The following is a 19200-nucleotide window of genomic DNA, read 5'->3' on the forward strand; positions in this document are numbered from 1 at the left end:
TCACTGAAAATAGGAAAGACCTCACTACGTCCTGATTACATTAATAGCTTGCTCTTTTTAAAGTGAATTCACTAGTGGCAAAAAATAATGAAATCTAGGTTATGACAAATAAGTAAATCTAAAATTGAATCTGATATAAAGGTGGTATGCAGTTGTTTCTGCAGCCATGATACATCCAGTTAGTCAACAGCTGCAACTGAGATTCACCTTTTGATGATGAAGAGAAAAATAATTTGAGACGAAGAGTTCCTCTACTAAAAATATTTAATAAAAGTTAATTACAAGCTTAAAGTTGAAGTCACTATATTGTCACTATTGATATTATTTTTCTTCTCAGAAGAAGCAGATAGAAAATATAATCCAAGACAATTGCTCTTCCCTCCTCTTCAAGCACTGTCCTCTCAAGGAGGAATAGTAATCTGATTGGTCAGATTCCAGGACACCACTTGACATGTTTATTAATAGGCAGGGATGATCATAAACCAAAACATCATGCATGTGAGTGTGGCTCCCTTCTCTCCCCTCTAGGCTGCCAGACGAGAACCCTGACCATCCTGCTCTTTCTTTCCATAACATTCTCTTCTGTTTCTCCCTTCCACATGTCACGAACAGTAAAATGAATGACCAATGCTGCTTCTGAGTCCCTTCCCAAAAGAGATACAAATATAGACTTAGAAGGCAGAACACCTCAAGACTCCAACTACAGGCTTGAGTTTTAAAGTCTTACGTTCCAGCAAAGTTTACCAAAGTTCTACAGTAGGATTTTAAGTACAAAAACTAGTGAAAGATAAATTGGTACTTTATTTCCCATATACCATTGTTGCTTACATGTATATTTTTTGCAAGACCTCAAGGGAAGAACTAACTCAGCCAAGGCAGCTAAAGGTATAATGTAGTAGAGCTGATACAAATGTTGCAAAACAAACAAACTCTGCAAAACAGATTTATGAAAACTGCAAACAAGGCTGCTTACTGCCTCAAAATACACAGACCCAAATTTATAGGATCTTAAAATGTTAATCTTTCAATATTAATGCTTACCTATAATAAATTATATAAGAAAGCATGTCTCCAGTGAATACACTTAACTTTAAAAATATGTAAGAAAAATTGGGGATACATGAATAAAACTAAAGGATGTTAAGTTTTCAATAATACTTTTTTAAAGAGGCAATAAAACAAAATTTAACTCTTGAGAAGCACTATACAGTAGAAGTTAGAAATGTAAAATGTGGAGCCAGACTGTCTGGAGCCAAAACCAGCTCCACCACTTACAGTGTAACCTCAAGTAAGTCATTTAACTTCTCTATTTCTGTTTTCTCATCTGTAACATGGGAAAACAGCACTTACCACATTAGATACAAGAATTAAATGAATACATGTAAAGCACTTGAACAATGTCTATCATATAATATGTACTATAAAGGTTATCTACTATTATAATTTACAGAACAAGAACATGTCTCAAAAATGTTTAAAAGTCAACATTTAAAGACTTCAAAAACTAATAATAATCAAAAGCATTATATAACATAAGTAGTAATTATAGGTATAAAAAAGCTAAAAATTTTGCAGTAAACACTGCTAATAATATGCAATTTAGAGTCAAATATTTAATCGTTTGATATGCCTAGCTGTGTGGCAGGTGCTAGAAGAAGAATAATGGACTTTTAAAAACCTCAATCATTAACAAAGTATAATCTCCAAATCTACTAAACATACTATGCACTTTCTGTCCTTTCTGTGCCTTTGCCCATGCTGGTGGTACCCTTACCCTAAAGCAGCCTTCTTTACCTTATCTTTCAACTTAAACATGCTTTAGGACCCAGCTCAAAATAACCTTTCTTCTACACATGATTCAGGCAGAACTCGCCTTGTTTTCTCTTGGCACCTCTACTTTTCCTCTACCCTTGTAAGTTTTTATCAATAGTATTTATTTGTACGTCTCCTCCAGCAGACTGTAATAGATTCCGTTAGGGAGAAGGATCATATCTCATTCATCTTTTCACCTCTGATACTTGGAATGGTATCTGGAATTCAGTAGGTGCTCAAAAAATGCTTACTGAATTTGAATTTGTTGGAAAGACAGTGTATGAATATAAAACTACAGAACCAAACAGAATCCCAAAAAATGAGGTAAGCAGGTGAGATTAGATAATAAAAATTAGTTAACAGTAGATTATATACTACTTTAAATATCAAGTAACTCCAGAAACACTATACATTTTACATTACCTCACATGTGATACACACAAGCCTATATGTTCCCATTTTACAAATGATAAATTTGAGATGAGGATGTCAGATGATTTTTCTAAAATCTTGTAGCTAATAAATGGCGGAGCCAAAATTAGAAGCCACATCCTAACTCAGGTTTCTAATCTCACATTCTTTCCATCATACTATATTGATTGCCATCATCCCTCCCAACTCCAAAACATCCATTATGTCCATGGTATAATTAAATGTTACTCTGTGAGAGTTTTCATGGGGCAGGGGAAAGAGGAGGGGTTGGAGATATTAATACATCCTATAGTGTTCAAATAATTTTAAAAGATGTGGAACTTGAAGAATGGGTAGAATATGGACAGGCAAAAAGATGACAAATATTCTAACAGGCCAAAATAGCATCAATAAAGGTATTAAGTGGGCAGGTGCAATATATATGCCAACTTTTAAGGAAATTTTGGGTTGAGAGTAGTATTAATAGATAATGAAAGAGCTGATACCATAACCTGTCTTAACATCACACGTGACCTTTAGGCAAGTCACTTTACTTCACTAAGCTTCAATTTCCTTACTTGTGAAGTGGAATTAATATTACCCAAGTCAAAAGGCTGTTCTGAAAAAAAAAAAAATCCATAAAGTGTTTGATACAATAATGGACACATGGTAAGTGCTAGGAAATGCAAGCAATTATTATCCCTCTAATGTCAAATCTATAAATGTAAATAAAATGAGACTAGACCATGAAACATACCAAACAGAAGACTGAGGGGGAATCTCAATCTCATCCACCAGTCCTATAGTGCCTACCGGTTTTAGAATGGTAAAATAAAAACAATTATCTGGTAGCAGTGCACAGAAGGGAGAGCCTTGAGTCAGAGAGGCTAGCCAGGTAGTAATTTCAGCAACTAAGGCAAAAAGTAATGAGTGCCTGACCTAGAGAGGTAGTCATGGACTGGTGAGAAACAGATGAGTCTTTCCAAGGAAGAAAGAGAAGTTGATGAAAAATGAGGGATAAAGAACAAGGGCAGGGAAGATTTAGATGCTGACAGCATGCAAAATACAATAAAATAGTTAAGGGGCTTTGAAATCAGACTGACATGGGTTTAAACCCTGATTTCCACCTATTAGTTACGTGTCTTGAACAACAAACCCATCCTCTTTGACTCTCATATTTGTAAAATGAAGATAATTATAATTTTCACAGGGCTGTTAGGTGTTTAGTACATTTGGTAACCACTCAATAAACAATGTATGTTTTTAGTACACAGTTTCCTCATATTTCCATGGCCCCTCTGCTTGAACACTTTTTCCCTCCTCTTTTGGCCAACTCTTTTATCCTCTCTGGGTCAACTCTTTTTTTTTTTTTTGAGACGGAGTCTCGCTCTGTCGCTCAGGATGGAGTGCAGTGGCGCCATCTCGGCTCACTGCAAGCTCCGTCTCCCGGGTTCACGCCATTCTCCTGCCTCAGCCTCCCGAGTAGCTGGGACTACAGGCGCCCGCCACCGCGCCAAGCTAATTTTTTGTATTTTTAGTAGAGACGGGATTTCACCGTGTTAGCCAGGATGGTCTCGATCTCCTGACCTCATGATCCGCCTGCCTCGGCCTCCCAAAGTGCTGGGATTACAGGCGTGAGCCACCGCGCCTGGCCAACTCTTAATCCTCTTAAGTGTCGGCTTAATATCAGCTCCTTGGGAAGTTTTCCCCTATGCAGCCTCTAGTCTAATTACTTCTTTAATAGCATGCACTATCATGCAATGTAGTTATCTGTTTATCTTATCTGTCTCCTGCCCCTCCCCACATTGAACTGGGAGTTCTTTGACAGCAAAATTTAGTCATAAGTACCTTCTTATCACCAATATTAGTACAGTTAGCACATAGTAGGCTTTGAAATTTTTGTTAAATAATGGGGAAAAATATATAAATATATGAATCTAGCTACTTAAGAAATTTTCTCCCTAAACTCCTCTCCAAATCAGTATAGTCGCACTTTAAATTCGGCATATTTTGTTATTTTAGAAAGATTTTCCCTCTCCTACATACACTACACCATCCAATCACCATCCAATTTCAAGGAACTGTCTTGGAAATAAAGAAACTCCAACCTGTGACGCAATCTACTAGAAGTAAGTTTCTTGAGGGCAGGGGCTATTATTGACTTCTATTTTCTGCATCTAGTTCAGAGCCTGGGACAGAGTAGGTGCCCACCAACAACATCTGTTAACCAATCAGTCATTCAGAAAATGGCACGGTGTGACAACAATATAATGCATAATAGTTTCTTTCACACTACATACCAAGAAAAACTAACCTACTACCTGAAGTAATTTTCACTGACAAAACCCCCAACTACCTAGAAATATCAAATACTTACTAAACTAAGCGTGTAAACAGAAAAAAAATTATAATCTATGCTGGCTGGTCTTCCTTTAAATTCATAAACACTAGTTTCCTACTCTTCCCTAGTCCATTTATTCTCCCACTTTCCTACATCACTATTCTATACCTTCTCCTCCCTCAAATGTTCACTTCTTCCTCCTCCTCCTCCTCTCTCTCAGCTAATGACCTTGCTTTCTATTTCCTTCTATCCAGGTACTGTGAATCAGTGATTCTCAAGAGGAATTTTACTCAACAGTCCCACCCTGGGAGGGAGGAAATTTTGTAAATCTCTCCAAACTGTAAATGTTGAAATGCCCCAGGACTCAGTCCTTGAACCACTCCCTTGAAGATCTCTCACATGGTTTTAAATAACACTTATACATTTACACTCCCACAGTTTTATCTTCTGTCCAGACTTCTCTTTTGAACTGGCTGGCTTCACATATACCACCACATATGACATTTCCATTTAGAAATTTAACATATGCAAAACGGAAAACCATTTCAGATCTTCCTTCCTCCTCTCTCCTATCATTTATTTTATTTTATTTTGAGACGGGGTCTCGCTCTGTCGCCCAGGCTGGAGTGCAGTGGCGCAATCTCGGCTCTCTGCAAGCTCTGCCTCCCGGGTTCATGCCATTCTCCTGCTTCAGCCTCCCAGTGGCTGGGACTACAAGCGCTTGCCACCAGGCTCGGGTTTGTTTTTTTTGTTTGTTTGTTTTTTTGTATTTTTAGTAGAGACGGGGTTTCACCGTGTTAGCCAGGATGGTCTCGGTCTCCTGACCTCGTGATCCGCCCGCCTTGGCCTCCCAACAAAAAGTTCTCCTATCATTATCACTCTGTGGTCTTTTCCGTTTCGCTAAGTGGAAAAGTCCTTTTTTTTTTTTTTTTTTTTTTTTTTAAAGAGACAGGGTCTTGCTGTCACCCAGGATGGACTACAGTGAAGGATCATGGGTCACTGTAACCTTGAGCTCAAGGGGGTCAAGTGATCCTCCCCTCCCATCTCAGCTTCCCAAGTAGCCAGGACTACAGGCTCATGCCACTATGCCCAGCTAATTTTTTATTTTTTTGTAGAGACAGGGTCTCGTTATGTCGCCCAGGCTGGGGATTCTCTCAAAGATGGTATTACAAGCATGAGCCATCACGCCCGGCCAAGTTATATTCTTTAGTTGCTCAGTCCGTAACCCTTGGAGTCGTCCTTGACCCTTCTTCTACCTGACTGCTCTCAAAAGTCTAGAATCTGGTCATTTCGCACTACCGCCACTATTACTACCCTGATTCAAGTCACCTCGACCTTTAACCTGGATAAATGCAGTCAATGGCCTACTAACAACTCTTATTTCTGCACCTGCTGCATACAGTCAACATAGCAATCAGATCTTTTAAAACACAAGTTAGATCAACTCACTGCTTACTCAAAACCCAACTCATTCAAAGTACAAATTAAGGTTCTTATAAATTCCCACATGCTCCTAAATGACTTGGCCCCATTTCCACCTAAGTATCCACTACTTCTTTCCCTCTTGTTCATTATTTTCCAGTCAAACTAGCTAGTATGCGCCTGCTTCAGGGCTTCAGTGGCAGCTCCTTCCAAGTGGCACCCTTCTTTATCACCCGTAGGCCTCCAAGTTAATATCATCTTTTCTATGGCCACCACTCCCATCTCTTGGCATTCCCTATACCCCTGCACTGCTTTGGTTTTTTTCTCTAGCACTTTCCGCCACTTGACGTACACAGTTGGCCCTTCCTACCCATGGGTTCTTCGTCCTTGTATTCAACCAATCATGGATGAAAAAATATTCGGGGAAGGAAAAAAAAGTCAGTACTGAACATGTATAGACTCTTTTTTGTCATTATTCCCTAAACAATACACCATAACAACTATTTATACAGCATTTAAGTTGTATTGCGCATTATAAATAATGCAGAGTTGAACTAAAGATAGGAGGATGTGCATAGGTTATCTGCAAACACTACACCATTTTATATCAGGGACTTGAGCATTTGAGGACTTTGGTATCCAAGGGAGGTCCTGGAACCAATCTCCCACAGATGCCGAGGGACAGGAAAGACTGTACCTTAATTTTTGTATCAATGTCTTCTCACCCCATCCCCAAAGTGGAACTTCATGATGGCAGGGATTTTTATTCTTTTGTTTACTATTTTGTTTACTGTTTTGTCCAGTGCCTAACACATAGGAGGTACTCAGTTTGGGGGAAATTAATGAAATAAATACACACTTGAGGTGTGTGCACTATTCTAAAAATCCATATCCATACAGTTCCATTCTGTACACTTTCCCCCAATTTTAAGTAGCATATCTTTGAAGATAAAAGCACAGGCTTAAATCTGGTGTAAAATACCTCTCAATTACTACCCTGAGCACAACATCGTTATTTTCAAATTCAAAATTCAACCAGAAACTCCCTCTATGGAAATCACAAATAGTTCAGTTCAGAGCCAAGTATCCAGTTTCAAGGTCTCAGAAATTTAACAAGCCAATTCTGGAAGGCTTTGGAAGTTCAGCTACTGTCTGGTAAGTCTCCGGGTTCTGATTGCTCAAGACAGGCTGTACCTCCTCACCCCTCAGAAAAATCTAGAACCAATAGTTTCCTAGGTTCCTCAAGTTCAGGATAATTTTAAAATAATCCAAAGTACAAATGAAGTATGTAAAAGTGTCTTGCCAACAGAAAATGTCTTTGGTAGCACTAAATATTGTTATTGAGACAGGGAATATCGTAAATAGATAAATTGCTTGGAGGACATACCCACCGAGTTTGGACAGACTCACACTGCACTGTGCAATAAAGGTTTAAATAACTGTGTTCCACAAACAATTCAGGTCCTGAACTGAACTCTAGAGCCTGCGACTAGACTCTCGCTTTCCTACCTTAGTAAGCAACAGACATGTACCCCAAGAGGGACCCCGCAGGCCACACCCGCCAACCGGCCCCAGGGCTCCGGGCCGGCGTCTCGCCAACTCCACCTTGCCCGGAGGAACCACCTTCACCCGCCATCGCGGCCGGGCGGGCGCTCCTCCAGGCAACTACTCACCCCTCCTTCCTACCACACCTACCTGGCCCCTCCCCAGCCCTCCTCCTCTAGGAATTTCCTCACACAAGGTGGACACACACACGTACCCTACTCCAAGCTATGGCTCCTCCTTCCGGCTCCCCGCACTGGTGGGGACGCCCAGATTCCGCGCTCCGGTGGGGCGGCGGGGCAAGCTGCCCGCCTGACACACTGTCCTGCGGGGACGCGGTAGCAGGACTCCAGGAAGCCCGCGCAGCCGCAAAAAGCACCGGCGCGGAGGTCGGAGCTGAACCCTGCTGCACTTCCGCCCTCTGGTATCCAGCGAATACAACCGGCAACGCTGCGGAGCCCTGGCAGCGCACCACAAGTCCAGTCACCCTCGGCGCCCGGAGATGACGTCACGAGACCCCACGTGGTCCGAACTCCGCCCTCCGTGTTCTGCCTAACCCAGCAAGGAGGCCCGAGTCGCTCTTGAGCATGCGCCAACGGGGCAGTACGCTTGAACTCGCGACCAAACCTCTCCAAGTTCATAGCTTCTACCCTCTTCTGAGAATCTTGCGTCAAAGCGTAGTTATTGGGGCTTGGGGAGGTTAACTTAACAGTTCCACAAAAACAGTTTTTAAAATACTGAAACACTGCCTCCCTAGAGCTTGATCGCAACATCCCTTTCTTCCTGGCATCACACAACAGTATTAATAAAACATTAGTTTTCAAAGTACTTTCCCATCCATTTTCTTATTTGATCTTCTTCTCTACTTTGTTGGAACCACCGCAGGCATTAATAACCTAATTTAACAGAAGACTATATGAGCACTGAACCCTCCCACCCATCCAAGAGTACATATCTTTATCTTACTCTTTGTAAAAATAATTGGGGCCGGGCGCGGTGGCTCACGCCTGTAATCCCAGCACCTTGGGAGGCCGAGGCGGGCGGATCACGAGGTCAGGAGATCGAGACCATCATGGCTAACACGGTGAAACCCCGTCTCTACTAAAAATACAAAAAAAATTAGCCGGGCGCGGTGGCGGGCTTCTGTAGTCCCAGCTACTGGAGAGTCTGAGGCAGGAGAATGGCGTGAACCCGGGAGGTGGAGCTTGCAGTGAGCCAAGATAGGGCCACCGCAGTCCCGCCTGGGCGAAAGAGCGAGACTCCGTCTCAAAAAAAAAATAGTAATAATTGGTAAACTTACTAATAAAGAATCTTTGAATTGGCTCTATCCAGAAGTCTTAGCAGGCATTTAAGGTTTTTCTCTTAATTACACGTGCCTTAACGCCATGCATGTTAAGTAAGTACTGTGCTGAGACTCAAAACAGGTTCTTGATAATTGGGAACATAAGGAAAATTCTAGTAGTAGCCACAGGATTCTTTTAAAAAGAAAAATCTTCTTGGAGTTGGACTAAGTACAATGATTTTCAAATGGTAAATTACAGTACATTAGTGGGTATCTAAATCAAGTTAGGGAAGCATGCCCAGCATCTTTTTAAATGAAATAAAATAGAAAATATCAGCATGCTTCACACATGTAAAGGGTAAATATTGTGTCCCAAAATTTTTACTTCAGTATGTATGTGGTGTACACTGGATAGGAATGTGAAATACATTTCTTAGTAAGGGTAGCAGTCAGAAAAGTTTGAAAGCCACAGTTATGGTCCTCTTCACCTACTCAATGCAGAAATCCTCACTACAGTGTCCCCAGTAAACAGCTATTAGCCTCTGTAAGAAAGCTTGTGGGATTAAGGTGCATTGCCTTCCCAGTGTCAGACAAAAGTATATAAAATTTCCTTTAAAATGTATCTAAAAAATAAGATGGATTTAGGGGCGCATAGATGGATAAATATGTGATTAACCAAATATAGTAAAATATAATGGTAGAATATAATGGTAAAATATAATGGTAGAATCTAGATGGTAGAATCTAGGTTCATTGTAAATGGGTATTCACTGTAAAATTTGTTCAGCTTTGCTGTGTGTTCAAAATTATTTCCTAACAAAATGTTGGGACCAGGCACAGTGGCTCATGCCTGTAATCCCAGCACTTTGGGAGGCCCAGGTAAGAGGATAGCTTGAGCCCAGGAGTTCAAGACCAGCCTGCACAACATGGCAAGACCACATCTCTACAAAAAACACAAAAATTAGGAGGGCATGGTGGCATGCGCCTACAGTCCCAGCTACTCCAGTGGTTGAGGAAGGAGGATTACATGAGCCCAGGAGGTCAAGGTTGCAGTGAGCTATGATTGTATCACTGCAGTCTAGGTAACAGAGAGAGACCCTGTCTCAAAAAAAAAAAAAAATTGTTTTGGGGGAAACTATGTATGAAGAAACCCAATAGGTGAAAGGTGATTACTTGATTTGACTTAAAATTCAACTTCCTGTAATTTTTATAAATTGACCATTTTCTTTCTTTCTCCCCTTGTCCTTCTCTCTTCCTCACCCATCTACAACATACAACAGAAATAACTAACTCTTCTTCTAAAAGACAGCATTTCAATATGAAAAGGTAGCTCTTGTGCCCCGTAATGCACTCAGGGATAAACATTGTCATTTCTTTCAGCCATTCTTCACATGCCATATCTCTCCTCTGGATATGGTCCAGTTATCAGCATTCCTATTAAATAGTTGTTACACTTGTTTCTATATGATGATCATGCTCCTTGAGCAAAAATTTGGAAATAAAGGGAATTGTATGTTTCGTCTCTGTCATTTCCATTTGTGAACATTATGCCTTTTCTCCAAATCAGTGGCACTGCAAATTTTTAATTTTTTTTCTATGAAGATAACTTTTAAAGAGCTCTTTTTGTTGGCCTTACCATTTCCTCCAAGTTTTAGCTTATTGGGGGTGACTCTCTGTTGGGAACAAGACCCCCAAAATCTGGCCATAAACTGGCCCCAAAACTGGCCATCAACTAAATCTCTGCAGCACTGTGACGTGTTCACGATGGCCATAAAGCCCACGCTGGAAGGTTGTGGGCTTACCGGAATGAGGGCAAGGAACACCTGGCCCGCCCAGGGCGGAAAACTGCTTAAAGGCATTCTTAAGCCACAAACAATAGCATGAGAGATTTGTGCCTTAAGGACATGCTCCTGATGCAGTTAACTAGCCCAACCTATTCCTTTAATTCGGCCCATCCCTTCATTTCCCGTAAGGGATACTTTTAGTTAATTTAATAGCTATAGAAACAATGCTAATGACTGGCTTGCTGTTAATAAATACGTGGGTAAATCTCTGTTCGGGGCTCTCAGCTCATTTCTGTGTGTGTGTCTTTAATTCCTCTAGCGCCGCTGGGTTAGGGTCTGCCCGACCGAGCTGGTCTCGGCACTCTCAGGCAGCCTTTGACTCGTGCGAACTTGTTTATAAAGTCCTCTTTTCAACAAAAGTCAAGTACACAACTCCTCCCAAATTCTGGTTTCTAAGGAGAGACTCCAAAGAAGTCTTTGTTAATAAATTGCTCTCTTTTCTTTTCACTATAATAGTTTGTAGTTGTAAAGTCTGGCTTTTATTTTTGCACACCTCACAAAGTGCAAGACTCAAAACTGTGGGATCGTAACTTTATTCTAAACTTATTTAAATCTACTTTCCTAAAATGTAAGTTATCTTGACTGCCTCCATGAACCCTAACCATCACTTGTTATCATGCTATTACTTCCTGACCCAAGGTCCCATTCTGCTCTCTTTTATCTCTGTCCTGTTGGTTTCAGAGGAATGATTTAAGCCTAATTTAATTCTTCTATTAATACTTCAGCTCTAACACTTCTGACTGCTCCAACTAATTATCCCATCTCCCAGATTTCCCTTACTACTAGTTTCTTCCTTCATCCTATACATATGCTCAAATGTTCTCCCATCCTATTAAAATGCTTCCTTTAACCTTCATCACTTCTGAACTATTAGGATAGCTTCCCCCCATCTCCCTGCCTCCAGTCCTGCTCTACCTGTCCCAGCATCCAACCAGTGTATGTTATCTAAAATGCATTCTAACAATGTCACTCTTCTGTTTAACACCTTTTATTGATTCCTTCTAGGCAAATTCCAAATTTCTTAGCATGGTAAACAAGGTCTTTTATGGCTAATTTCTTCTTTCCTTCTAGCTTCCTTCCCCTGCTCTCCCTGCCTTGCGCTTCAAAAAATCCAACAGTATCCAATATTTTGTAAGACTTCTGAGCCCTAAGGCTATGCCATGCTTCTATGACTTTGTTGCTGTTGTCCCTGCTGCCCGGAACACTACCCCCACCAGCACCATCACCACATTCTTTCTTCTTCACTTGGCACACATCACTCATTTTTAAGACTCAATTCATGTTTTGGAAAGTATTTCCTGACCCACCCAATTTGGATTTGTTGGTCCTCATACTTTCCTCGGTAATTTTTTGATCACCAATGCCCAGCATAATGCCTGGCATTTATTAAATGTTTGTCAAAGTAACCTAAGCTGAACATGCGCTCTCTTCTAGGATTCCCATCAGTTTCACCTCATAATCTAAATTGTTCCATATAGCTTAGAGTTTAGGTAGAAAGTGGTCGTTTTCTTTGTTACTTCATCGATGTCTGAGGGAGAAAATCAGCAAGTCACGTTGAAAGTAATTGAGATGCACTGCCATTAGCAGAGTGGGTCTCCAGCAGTCACTAGCAGTTAAAGTTTTCCGCCATCACCGTATCCTGTCTCAGTGTCAGTTTTAGGATCTGTACGGGGAAAGGCATCACTTCTTCCATTTGGCTGCACACTCTGCAGTGCATTCCCAGAACACAACCACACTTCTGTTCCTCTATCCGTTTATCCTTACTCAAATGATACCTCTCCCCTGCTAGAATGGAGACTCCTACAAAGCTGGCATGAATTCCTATACAAAAAGGCTACAAACTGGAGTTCCACCTGCTGGAACTGGAGAACCTGTATGATTGCTGTAACATACATTAACCTACTTCAGCATACAAAATGTAATATTATGAATGTGGTAGTAGTACATAAGCTTCGATTCTACTCACACAAACTGAGAATTCTAGGCTTCCATGATGGTCAGGCAGCAACACATTAAAAAGACCACACTTCAGGAGCACATATCACAAGGACGCCTAGTATCACCATCTTGATCCACATCGCTTGGTTTGCTAATTAGCATAGTGAACACCAGAGATGGGTTTTTATTTTTGGCTTCCCCAAAAGTATGATAAATGTTAAAAATGGGATCTCATGTATGCAATTAGCAAAATCTAAAATATATGGGATTTGGGCTGGGCACGGTGGTTCATGTCTGTAATCCCAGCATCTTGGGAAGCCAAGGTGGGCAGATCACTTGAGGTTAGGAGTTTCAGACCAGCCTGGTCAGCATGGTGAAACCCCGTCTGTACTAAAAATACAAAAAAATTAGCGGGGTGTGGTGGTACACGCCTATAGTCCCAGCTACTTGGGAGACTGAAGCACGAGAATCACTTGAACCTGGGAGGTGGAGGTTGCAGTGAGCCGAGATCGTGCCACTGCACTCCAACCTGGGCAACAGAGTGAGACTCCGTCTCAAAAATAAATAAATAAATAAATTTAAATACACTTCAGCTGCTTCCGAAGTGTGGTCTTTCTAATGTGTTGCTGCCTGACCACCACTGAAGCATAACAGAGGCATAGCTCGTTATATAGTGCTTCACCTTATTGCTCTTCGCAGAGTCTGTTTTTTACAAATTGAAGGTTTATGGCAACCCTGCATCAGGCAAGTCTTTTGGCGCCATTTTTCCAACAGCATGTGCTTACTTCATGTCTCTGTCACATTTTGGCAATTCTCCCAATATTTCAAACATTTTCATTATTATTATATCTGTTATGGTGATCTGTGATCAGTGGTCTTTGATGTTACTACAGTAATTGTTTTGGGGCAGTATGAACCACATCCATATAAGATGGTGAACTTAACTGATAAACACGTGTGTTCTGACTGCTCAGCCCACTGGCCCTTCCCCGTCTCTTTCCCTCTCCTCTAGCCTCCCTATTCCCTGAGACACTACAATATTGAAATTAGGCCAATTAATAACCCTATAATGGCCTCTAAGTGTTCAGGTAAAAAGAAAAAAATGCACGTCTCTCACTTTAAGTCAAAAGCTAGTAATGACTAAACTTAGTGAGGAAAGCAAATCAAAAGCCAGGACAGGCCGAAAGCAGGTCTCTTGGACTAAACAGCCAAGTTATGAATGTGAAAGAAAAGCTCTTGATGGAAATTAAAAGTGCTACCTCAGTGAACTCACAAATGATAAGAAAGCAAAACAGCCTTATTGCTAATATGGAGAAAGTTTGAATGGTCTGGATAGAAGATTGAGCCAGCCATGATATCCCCTTAAGCCAAAGCCTAACCCAGAGCAAGGCCCTAACTCTCTTCAATTCTGTGAAAGCTGAGAGAGGTGTGGAAGCTGCAGAAGAAACACTGGAAGCTAGCAAAGGTTGGTTCATGAGGTTTAAGGAAAGAAGCCATCTCCATAACATGAAAGTGCAAGGTAATGCAGCAAGTGCTAATGTAGAAGCTGCAGCAAGTTACCCAGGAGACCTAGCTAAAATCATTGATGAAGGTGGCTACACTAAACAACAGATTTTCAATATAGACAAAACAGCCGTCTATTAGAAGAGGATGCCATCTAGGATGTCCATAGCTAGAGAGGAGAAGTCAATGCCTGGCTTCAAAGAACAGGCTGATGCTCTTGTTAGAGGCTAATGCTGCTGGTGACTTTAAGTTGAAGCCAATGTTTATTTGCCATTCTGAAAATCCTAGGGCCCTTACAAATTATGCTAAATCTATTCTGCTTATGCTCTAGAAATGGAACACAAATCCTGGATGACAGCACACCTGTTTATAGCACGGTTTACTGAATATTTTAACCCCACTATTGAGACCTACTGCTCAGGAAAAAAGAGTCCTTCAAAATATTATTGCTCATTGATAGTGTACTTGGTCACCCAAGAGCTCTGATGGAAATGTACAAGGAGATTAATGTTGTTTTCATGCCTGCTAATAAAACATTCATTCTTCAGCCTATGGATCAAGGAGTAATTTTGACTTTCAAGTCTTATTGTTTAAGAAATACATTTTCTAAGGCATTAGCTGCCATAGATAGTGATTCCTCTGATGGATCTGGCAAAATAAATTGAAAATATTCCGGAAAGGATTCGTTATTCTAGATTCCATTAAGAACATTTGTGGGCCAGGTGCAGTGGCTCACTCCTGTAATCCCAGCATTTGGGAGGCTGAGGCAGGAGTATCACTTGAGCCCAGGAGTTCGAGACCAGCCTGGGCAACATGATGAGACACTATCTCCATAAGTAATAAAAAAGTTAGCCAGGTGTGGTGGCATGCGCCTGTAGTCCCAGCTACTTGGGAGGCTAAGATGGGAGGATCACTTACGCCTGGGTGGTTGAGGCTGTAGTGAGCTGTGCTCTGCACTCCAGCAGCCTGGGTGACAGAGTGAGACCCTGTCTCAAAAAAAAAAAAAAAATGAACATTTGTGATTCATAGGAGGAAGTCAAAATGTTGCCAACCTTAACAGGAGTTTGGCAGAAATTGATTCCAATAATCAAGTATGACTTTGAGAGGTTCAAGACTTCAGTGGAGGAAGTCACTGCAGATGTGGTAGAAATAGCAATAACTGTAACTAGAAGTGAGCCTGAAGATGTGACTGAATTACTGCAATCTCATTGTAAAATTTTAACAGATGAGGAGCTACATCTTATGGGTGAACAAAGAAAATGGTTTCTTGAGATAGAATCTACTCCTGGTGAAGATACTGTGAACACCGTTGAAATGACAACCAAGGATGTAGAATATTCCATAAACTTAGCTGATAAAGCAGCAACAGAGTTTGAAAGGATTGACCCTAATTTTGAAAGAAGTTCTAGTGTGAGTAAAATGCTATCAAACAGCATCACATGCTACAGAGAAATCTTTTATGAAGAGCCAATTACTGTGGTAATCTTCATTGTCTTATTTTAAGAAATTGTTGCAGCCACCCCAACTTTCAGCAATCACCACCCAGATCAGTCAGCAACCATCAGCATTGAGGCAAGACCCTCTAACAGCAAAAAGATTACCACTTACTGAAGGCTCAGATGATGGTTAGCAATTTTTAGCAATAAAGTATATATATTTTTTGAGACAGGGTCTCACTCTGTCGCCTAGGCTGGAGTGCAGTGGCATAATCATGGCTCACTGTAGCCTTGATCTCCCAGGCTCAAGCGATCCTCCTGCCTTAGCCTTCCAAGTAGCTGGGACCACAAGGACATGCCACTATGCTTGGCTAACTTTTAATTTTTTTGTAGATATGGGGTCTTGCTATGTGGCTCAGGCTGGTCTTGAACTCCTGGATTCAAGCAATCCTCCCACCTCAGACTCCCAAAGTGTTGGGATTACAGGTGTGAGCCACCATCCCTGGCTAAACCATTTTTAAATTAAGGTATATACATTTGTTTTTTAGACAATACTATTGCACTCTAAATAGACTACCTTATAGTACCTATAATATAAACATTAATTTTTATACGCATTGGAAAACCAAAAGAATTGTGTTACTTTTTAGCACTCTTTATTTTATTGCAATGGTCTGAAACCAAACCCTCAATATCTTGAAGGTACGCCGGTATATATTTTAAAAATCACAATTTGGAGCAGCTTTTCTGTGACTACCGTGTGAACTCTACAACACCGTATGCAATTCTATCACCGTTACAGATAAAATGTAGGGTTCCATTGAAAAATAGCGTGTTATAAGACACTATATGTATAACTCCAGTTACTGAATCTTCTCTACCTGTCTACACAGATGGATTCCACAGGGTTAAATTAAAGAAATATGCCAAATATTATTTAGAGATACGTATACACTCAAAACTATTTTTTTTTTTTTTTTTTGAGACGGAGTCTCGCTCTGTCGCCCAGGCTGGAGTGCAGTGGCGCGATCTCGGCTCACTGCAAGCTCCGCCTTCCGGGTTCATGCCATTCTTCTGCCTCAGCCTCCGGAGTAGCTGGGACTACATGCGCCCGCCACCATACCCAGCTAATTTTTTGTATTTTTAGTAGAGACGGGGTTTCACCATGCTAGCCAGGATGGTCTCGATCTCCTGACCTGGTGATCCGCCCGCCTTGGCCTCCCAAAGGACTACGATTACAGGCGTGAGCCACCGTGCCTGGCCTACACTCATAACTATTATGGATTTGTGTTCTAATTTTTCATCCTATAAATTAATATTGTCTTAAAAAAATCTTTGTATCAGATTTTTTTACTGTTTCCATATGAATTTTTTTCTGTAAAAAGCTCCAGGCTCAGTATGGTGGCTCACGCTTGTAGTCCCAGTACTTTGAAAGGCCAAGGCAGAAGAATTGCTTGAGATCAGGAGTTTGATACCAGCCTTGTCAACACAATGAGATCCCATCACTACAAAACATTTTTAAAATTAGCTGGGCATGATGGTGCCTGCCTGTAATCCTAGATACTCAGGAGGCCGAAGTGGGAAGATTCCTTGAGCCCAGGAGTCTGTGGCTACAGTGAGCTATGATTGCACCACTGCACTCCACCCTGGGCAACAGAGTGGGACACTGTCTCTTAAAAAAAAAAACAAAAAAAACTCTTAATAAAGTCTAGGATGAATCAGCCAGGCAGTTTTTCAGTCTGTTTTTTTCAATGAACATCAGAAAGAAAAATAATCTGGGAAGTGTAAAACTGAAGGACAAGTCTTTAAAAAAAAAAAGTAAAAATAAAAATAGCCTGATTTCTAAAATAGTAAAATAGATTCTTGCAATAATGCGTTGTTGTCAACAGGTGTCACTGTCTACCAGAGGTAAAGCTCAGAGCTCCCCAGCCAGCAAGGCCAGCCAACAGCACCCTCAATGAGGTAAAGATAGGCCAGGTGCGGTGGCTCACGCATGTAATTCCAGCACTTTGGGAGGCCCAGGCAGGTGGATCACATGAGGTCAGGAGTTTGAGAGCAGCCTGGCCAACATGGCAAAACCCTGTCTCTACAAATAAACAAATTAGCTGGGCATTGTGGTGTGTGCCTGTAATCCCAGCTACTCAGGAGGCTGAGGTAGGAGAATTGCTTGAACCCTGGAGGCAGAGGTTGCAGTAAGCTGAGATCGCATCACTGGACTCCAGCCTGGGCAACAGAGCTAGACTCTGCTAAAAAAAAAAAAAAAAAAAAAAAAAAAAAAAAAAAAAAAAAAAAAAAAAAAAAGATGTAAAGATAGTGTTTCCCAGTAGGAAACATCTGGTTATTGTAAAAGATCTTGTGAAATCCTAAAAACGTTCTCACAACAAAATTATTTTAATTTCCAAAAAAAAAAGGCTTCTAAACCTTGTGAATATTAACTCACATTCTCTTTTTTTTTTTTTTTTTTTTTTTGAGACAGAGTCTCACTCTGTTGCCCAGGCTGGAGTGCAGTGGCGCGATCTTGGCTCACTGCAAGCTCCACCTCCCAGGTTCATGCCATTCTCCTGCCTCAGCCTCCCAAGTAGCTGGGACTACAGGCGCCCATCACCACGCCCGGCTAATTTTTTTTTGTATTTTTAGTAGAGACGGGGTTTCACTGTGTTAGCCAGGATGGTCTCAAACTCCTGACCTCGTGATCCGCCCTCCTCGGCCTCCCAAAGTGCTGGGATTACAGGCGTGAGCCATCGCGCCCAGCCTCATATTCTCTTTCAAATCCATCCCCTTTCCCTCACATTCTCTCATTGGTTTGATTTGGATCATCGGCTTGTGCAGCAGAGCAGAGTGGTTGAGATATGAACTCTTAAATTCTTGCTCTGACATCTATTACCTATATGGCCACAGACAAATGAGTTAACCAGGACTGGCTACATAATTTCTGATGCCCAGGGCAAAATGAAAACGAGGGCCCTTTGTTTAAAAATTAAGAATCTCAAGATGGAGACAGCAGAGCATGAAAGCCGGTGCCAGGCCTTGTGCAACTGAACAGGTCGCATGCACAAGAACTTAGCTCTTATGTAACTTTTCCAAGCCTCCACTTTTCCATTTTCCTCAAGCTAAAATAAGGAAAATGATAGCACCTGCCTCGTGGACTTGTGAGGATTAAGTGAAATGATGCACATAAAACGTTTATCGCAGTGCTTGGCACATAGTAAGCTCTCAATAAATAGGAGCTGCTGTTTTTATGTCCTTCACTAGACTGTATGCCTCTCCTCCCCTGTGCCAATCCATTTTACAACCTGCTGCCAGAGTAATCTTCTTTAGCACAGTTCTGATTATGCCCCTGCCCTATTTTTATAAAAACTAAATCTTCACTGCCTACAGAACAAAATCCAAATCTAACCCGAATCCACTTTTCCAGCTCCTCTCTCGTCAGCTGTCTGGCTCCCTGGTCTCTCTCTGAGCTCGGTCCTCACATCCCTGTGCCTTTGCTTACCATGTTCATTCTGCTAGAAATGTCCTTTCCCCAGGGCTGGGGGGAAATATACAGGGATCTAAGTCACAGATCTGCCTTGGAATTGCTTACAACCTAAACTGGGAAACAGAGCATTATACAAGAGATGTAGCAAAGCACAAGGCAGGAGTGGTCAAGGGAAAAAGTGTCATAAAAGCTCA

The 19200-nt window shown here is 41.3% G+C and overlaps 1 protein-coding gene across 7 annotated transcripts in view, besides 4 other annotated features; it reads right to left on the reverse strand.

Annotated features, from left to right (window-relative positions):
• The window catches only part of ATG5 (autophagy related 5), a 141285-nt gene extending 133305 nt beyond the window's left edge, over nt 1-7980 (reverse strand). For 5 of the 7 annotated variants that reach the window (NM_001286111.2, NM_001286107.2, NM_001286108.2 and 2 more), the window contains exon 1: nt 7746-7980. The gene's annotated coding sequence lies outside the window, so the exon portion shown is untranslated. Of the gene's footprint in view, nt 1-7495; nt 7658-7745 lie in introns of those variants that run through there. The other 2 variants (XM_024446590.2, NM_001286106.2) reach the window with 1 other exon arrangement.
• Nucleotides 5141-5641: an enhancer, noted in NCBI's record as "H3K27ac hESC enhancer chr6:106770796-106771296 (GRCh37/hg19 assembly coordinates)". NCBI's record gives its function as "activates a minimal SCP1, AML or CMV promoter by ChIP-STARR-seq in naive and primed H9 embryonic stem cells {active_cell/tissue: H9 hESC(naive and primed)}" and the evidence as "EXISTENCE:reporter gene assay evidence [ECO:0000049][PMID:30033119]".
• Nucleotides 5642-6142: an enhancer, noted in NCBI's record as "H3K27ac hESC enhancer chr6:106771297-106771797 (GRCh37/hg19 assembly coordinates)". NCBI's record gives its function as "activates a minimal SCP1, AML or CMV promoter by ChIP-STARR-seq in naive H9 embryonic stem cells {active_cell/tissue: H9 hESC(naive)}" and the evidence as "EXISTENCE:reporter gene assay evidence [ECO:0000049][PMID:30033119]".
• Nucleotides 7790-7839: an enhancer, noted in NCBI's record as "active region_24884". NCBI's record gives its function as "activates an Ori minimal core promoter by ATAC-STARR-seq in GM12878 lymphoblastoid cells {active_cell/tissue: GM12878}" and the evidence as "EXISTENCE:reporter gene assay evidence [ECO:0000049][PMID:35858748]".
• Nucleotides 7860-8179: an enhancer, noted in NCBI's record as "active region_24885". NCBI's record gives its function as "activates an Ori minimal core promoter by ATAC-STARR-seq in GM12878 lymphoblastoid cells {active_cell/tissue: GM12878}" and the evidence as "EXISTENCE:reporter gene assay evidence [ECO:0000049][PMID:35858748]".

This window comes from Homo sapiens, chromosome 6 (genome assembly GCF_000001405.40).
Source record: "Homo sapiens chromosome 6, GRCh38.p14 Primary Assembly".
In the NCBI taxonomy this organism is placed as follows: Eukaryota; Metazoa; Chordata; class Mammalia; order Primates; family Hominidae; genus Homo; species Homo sapiens.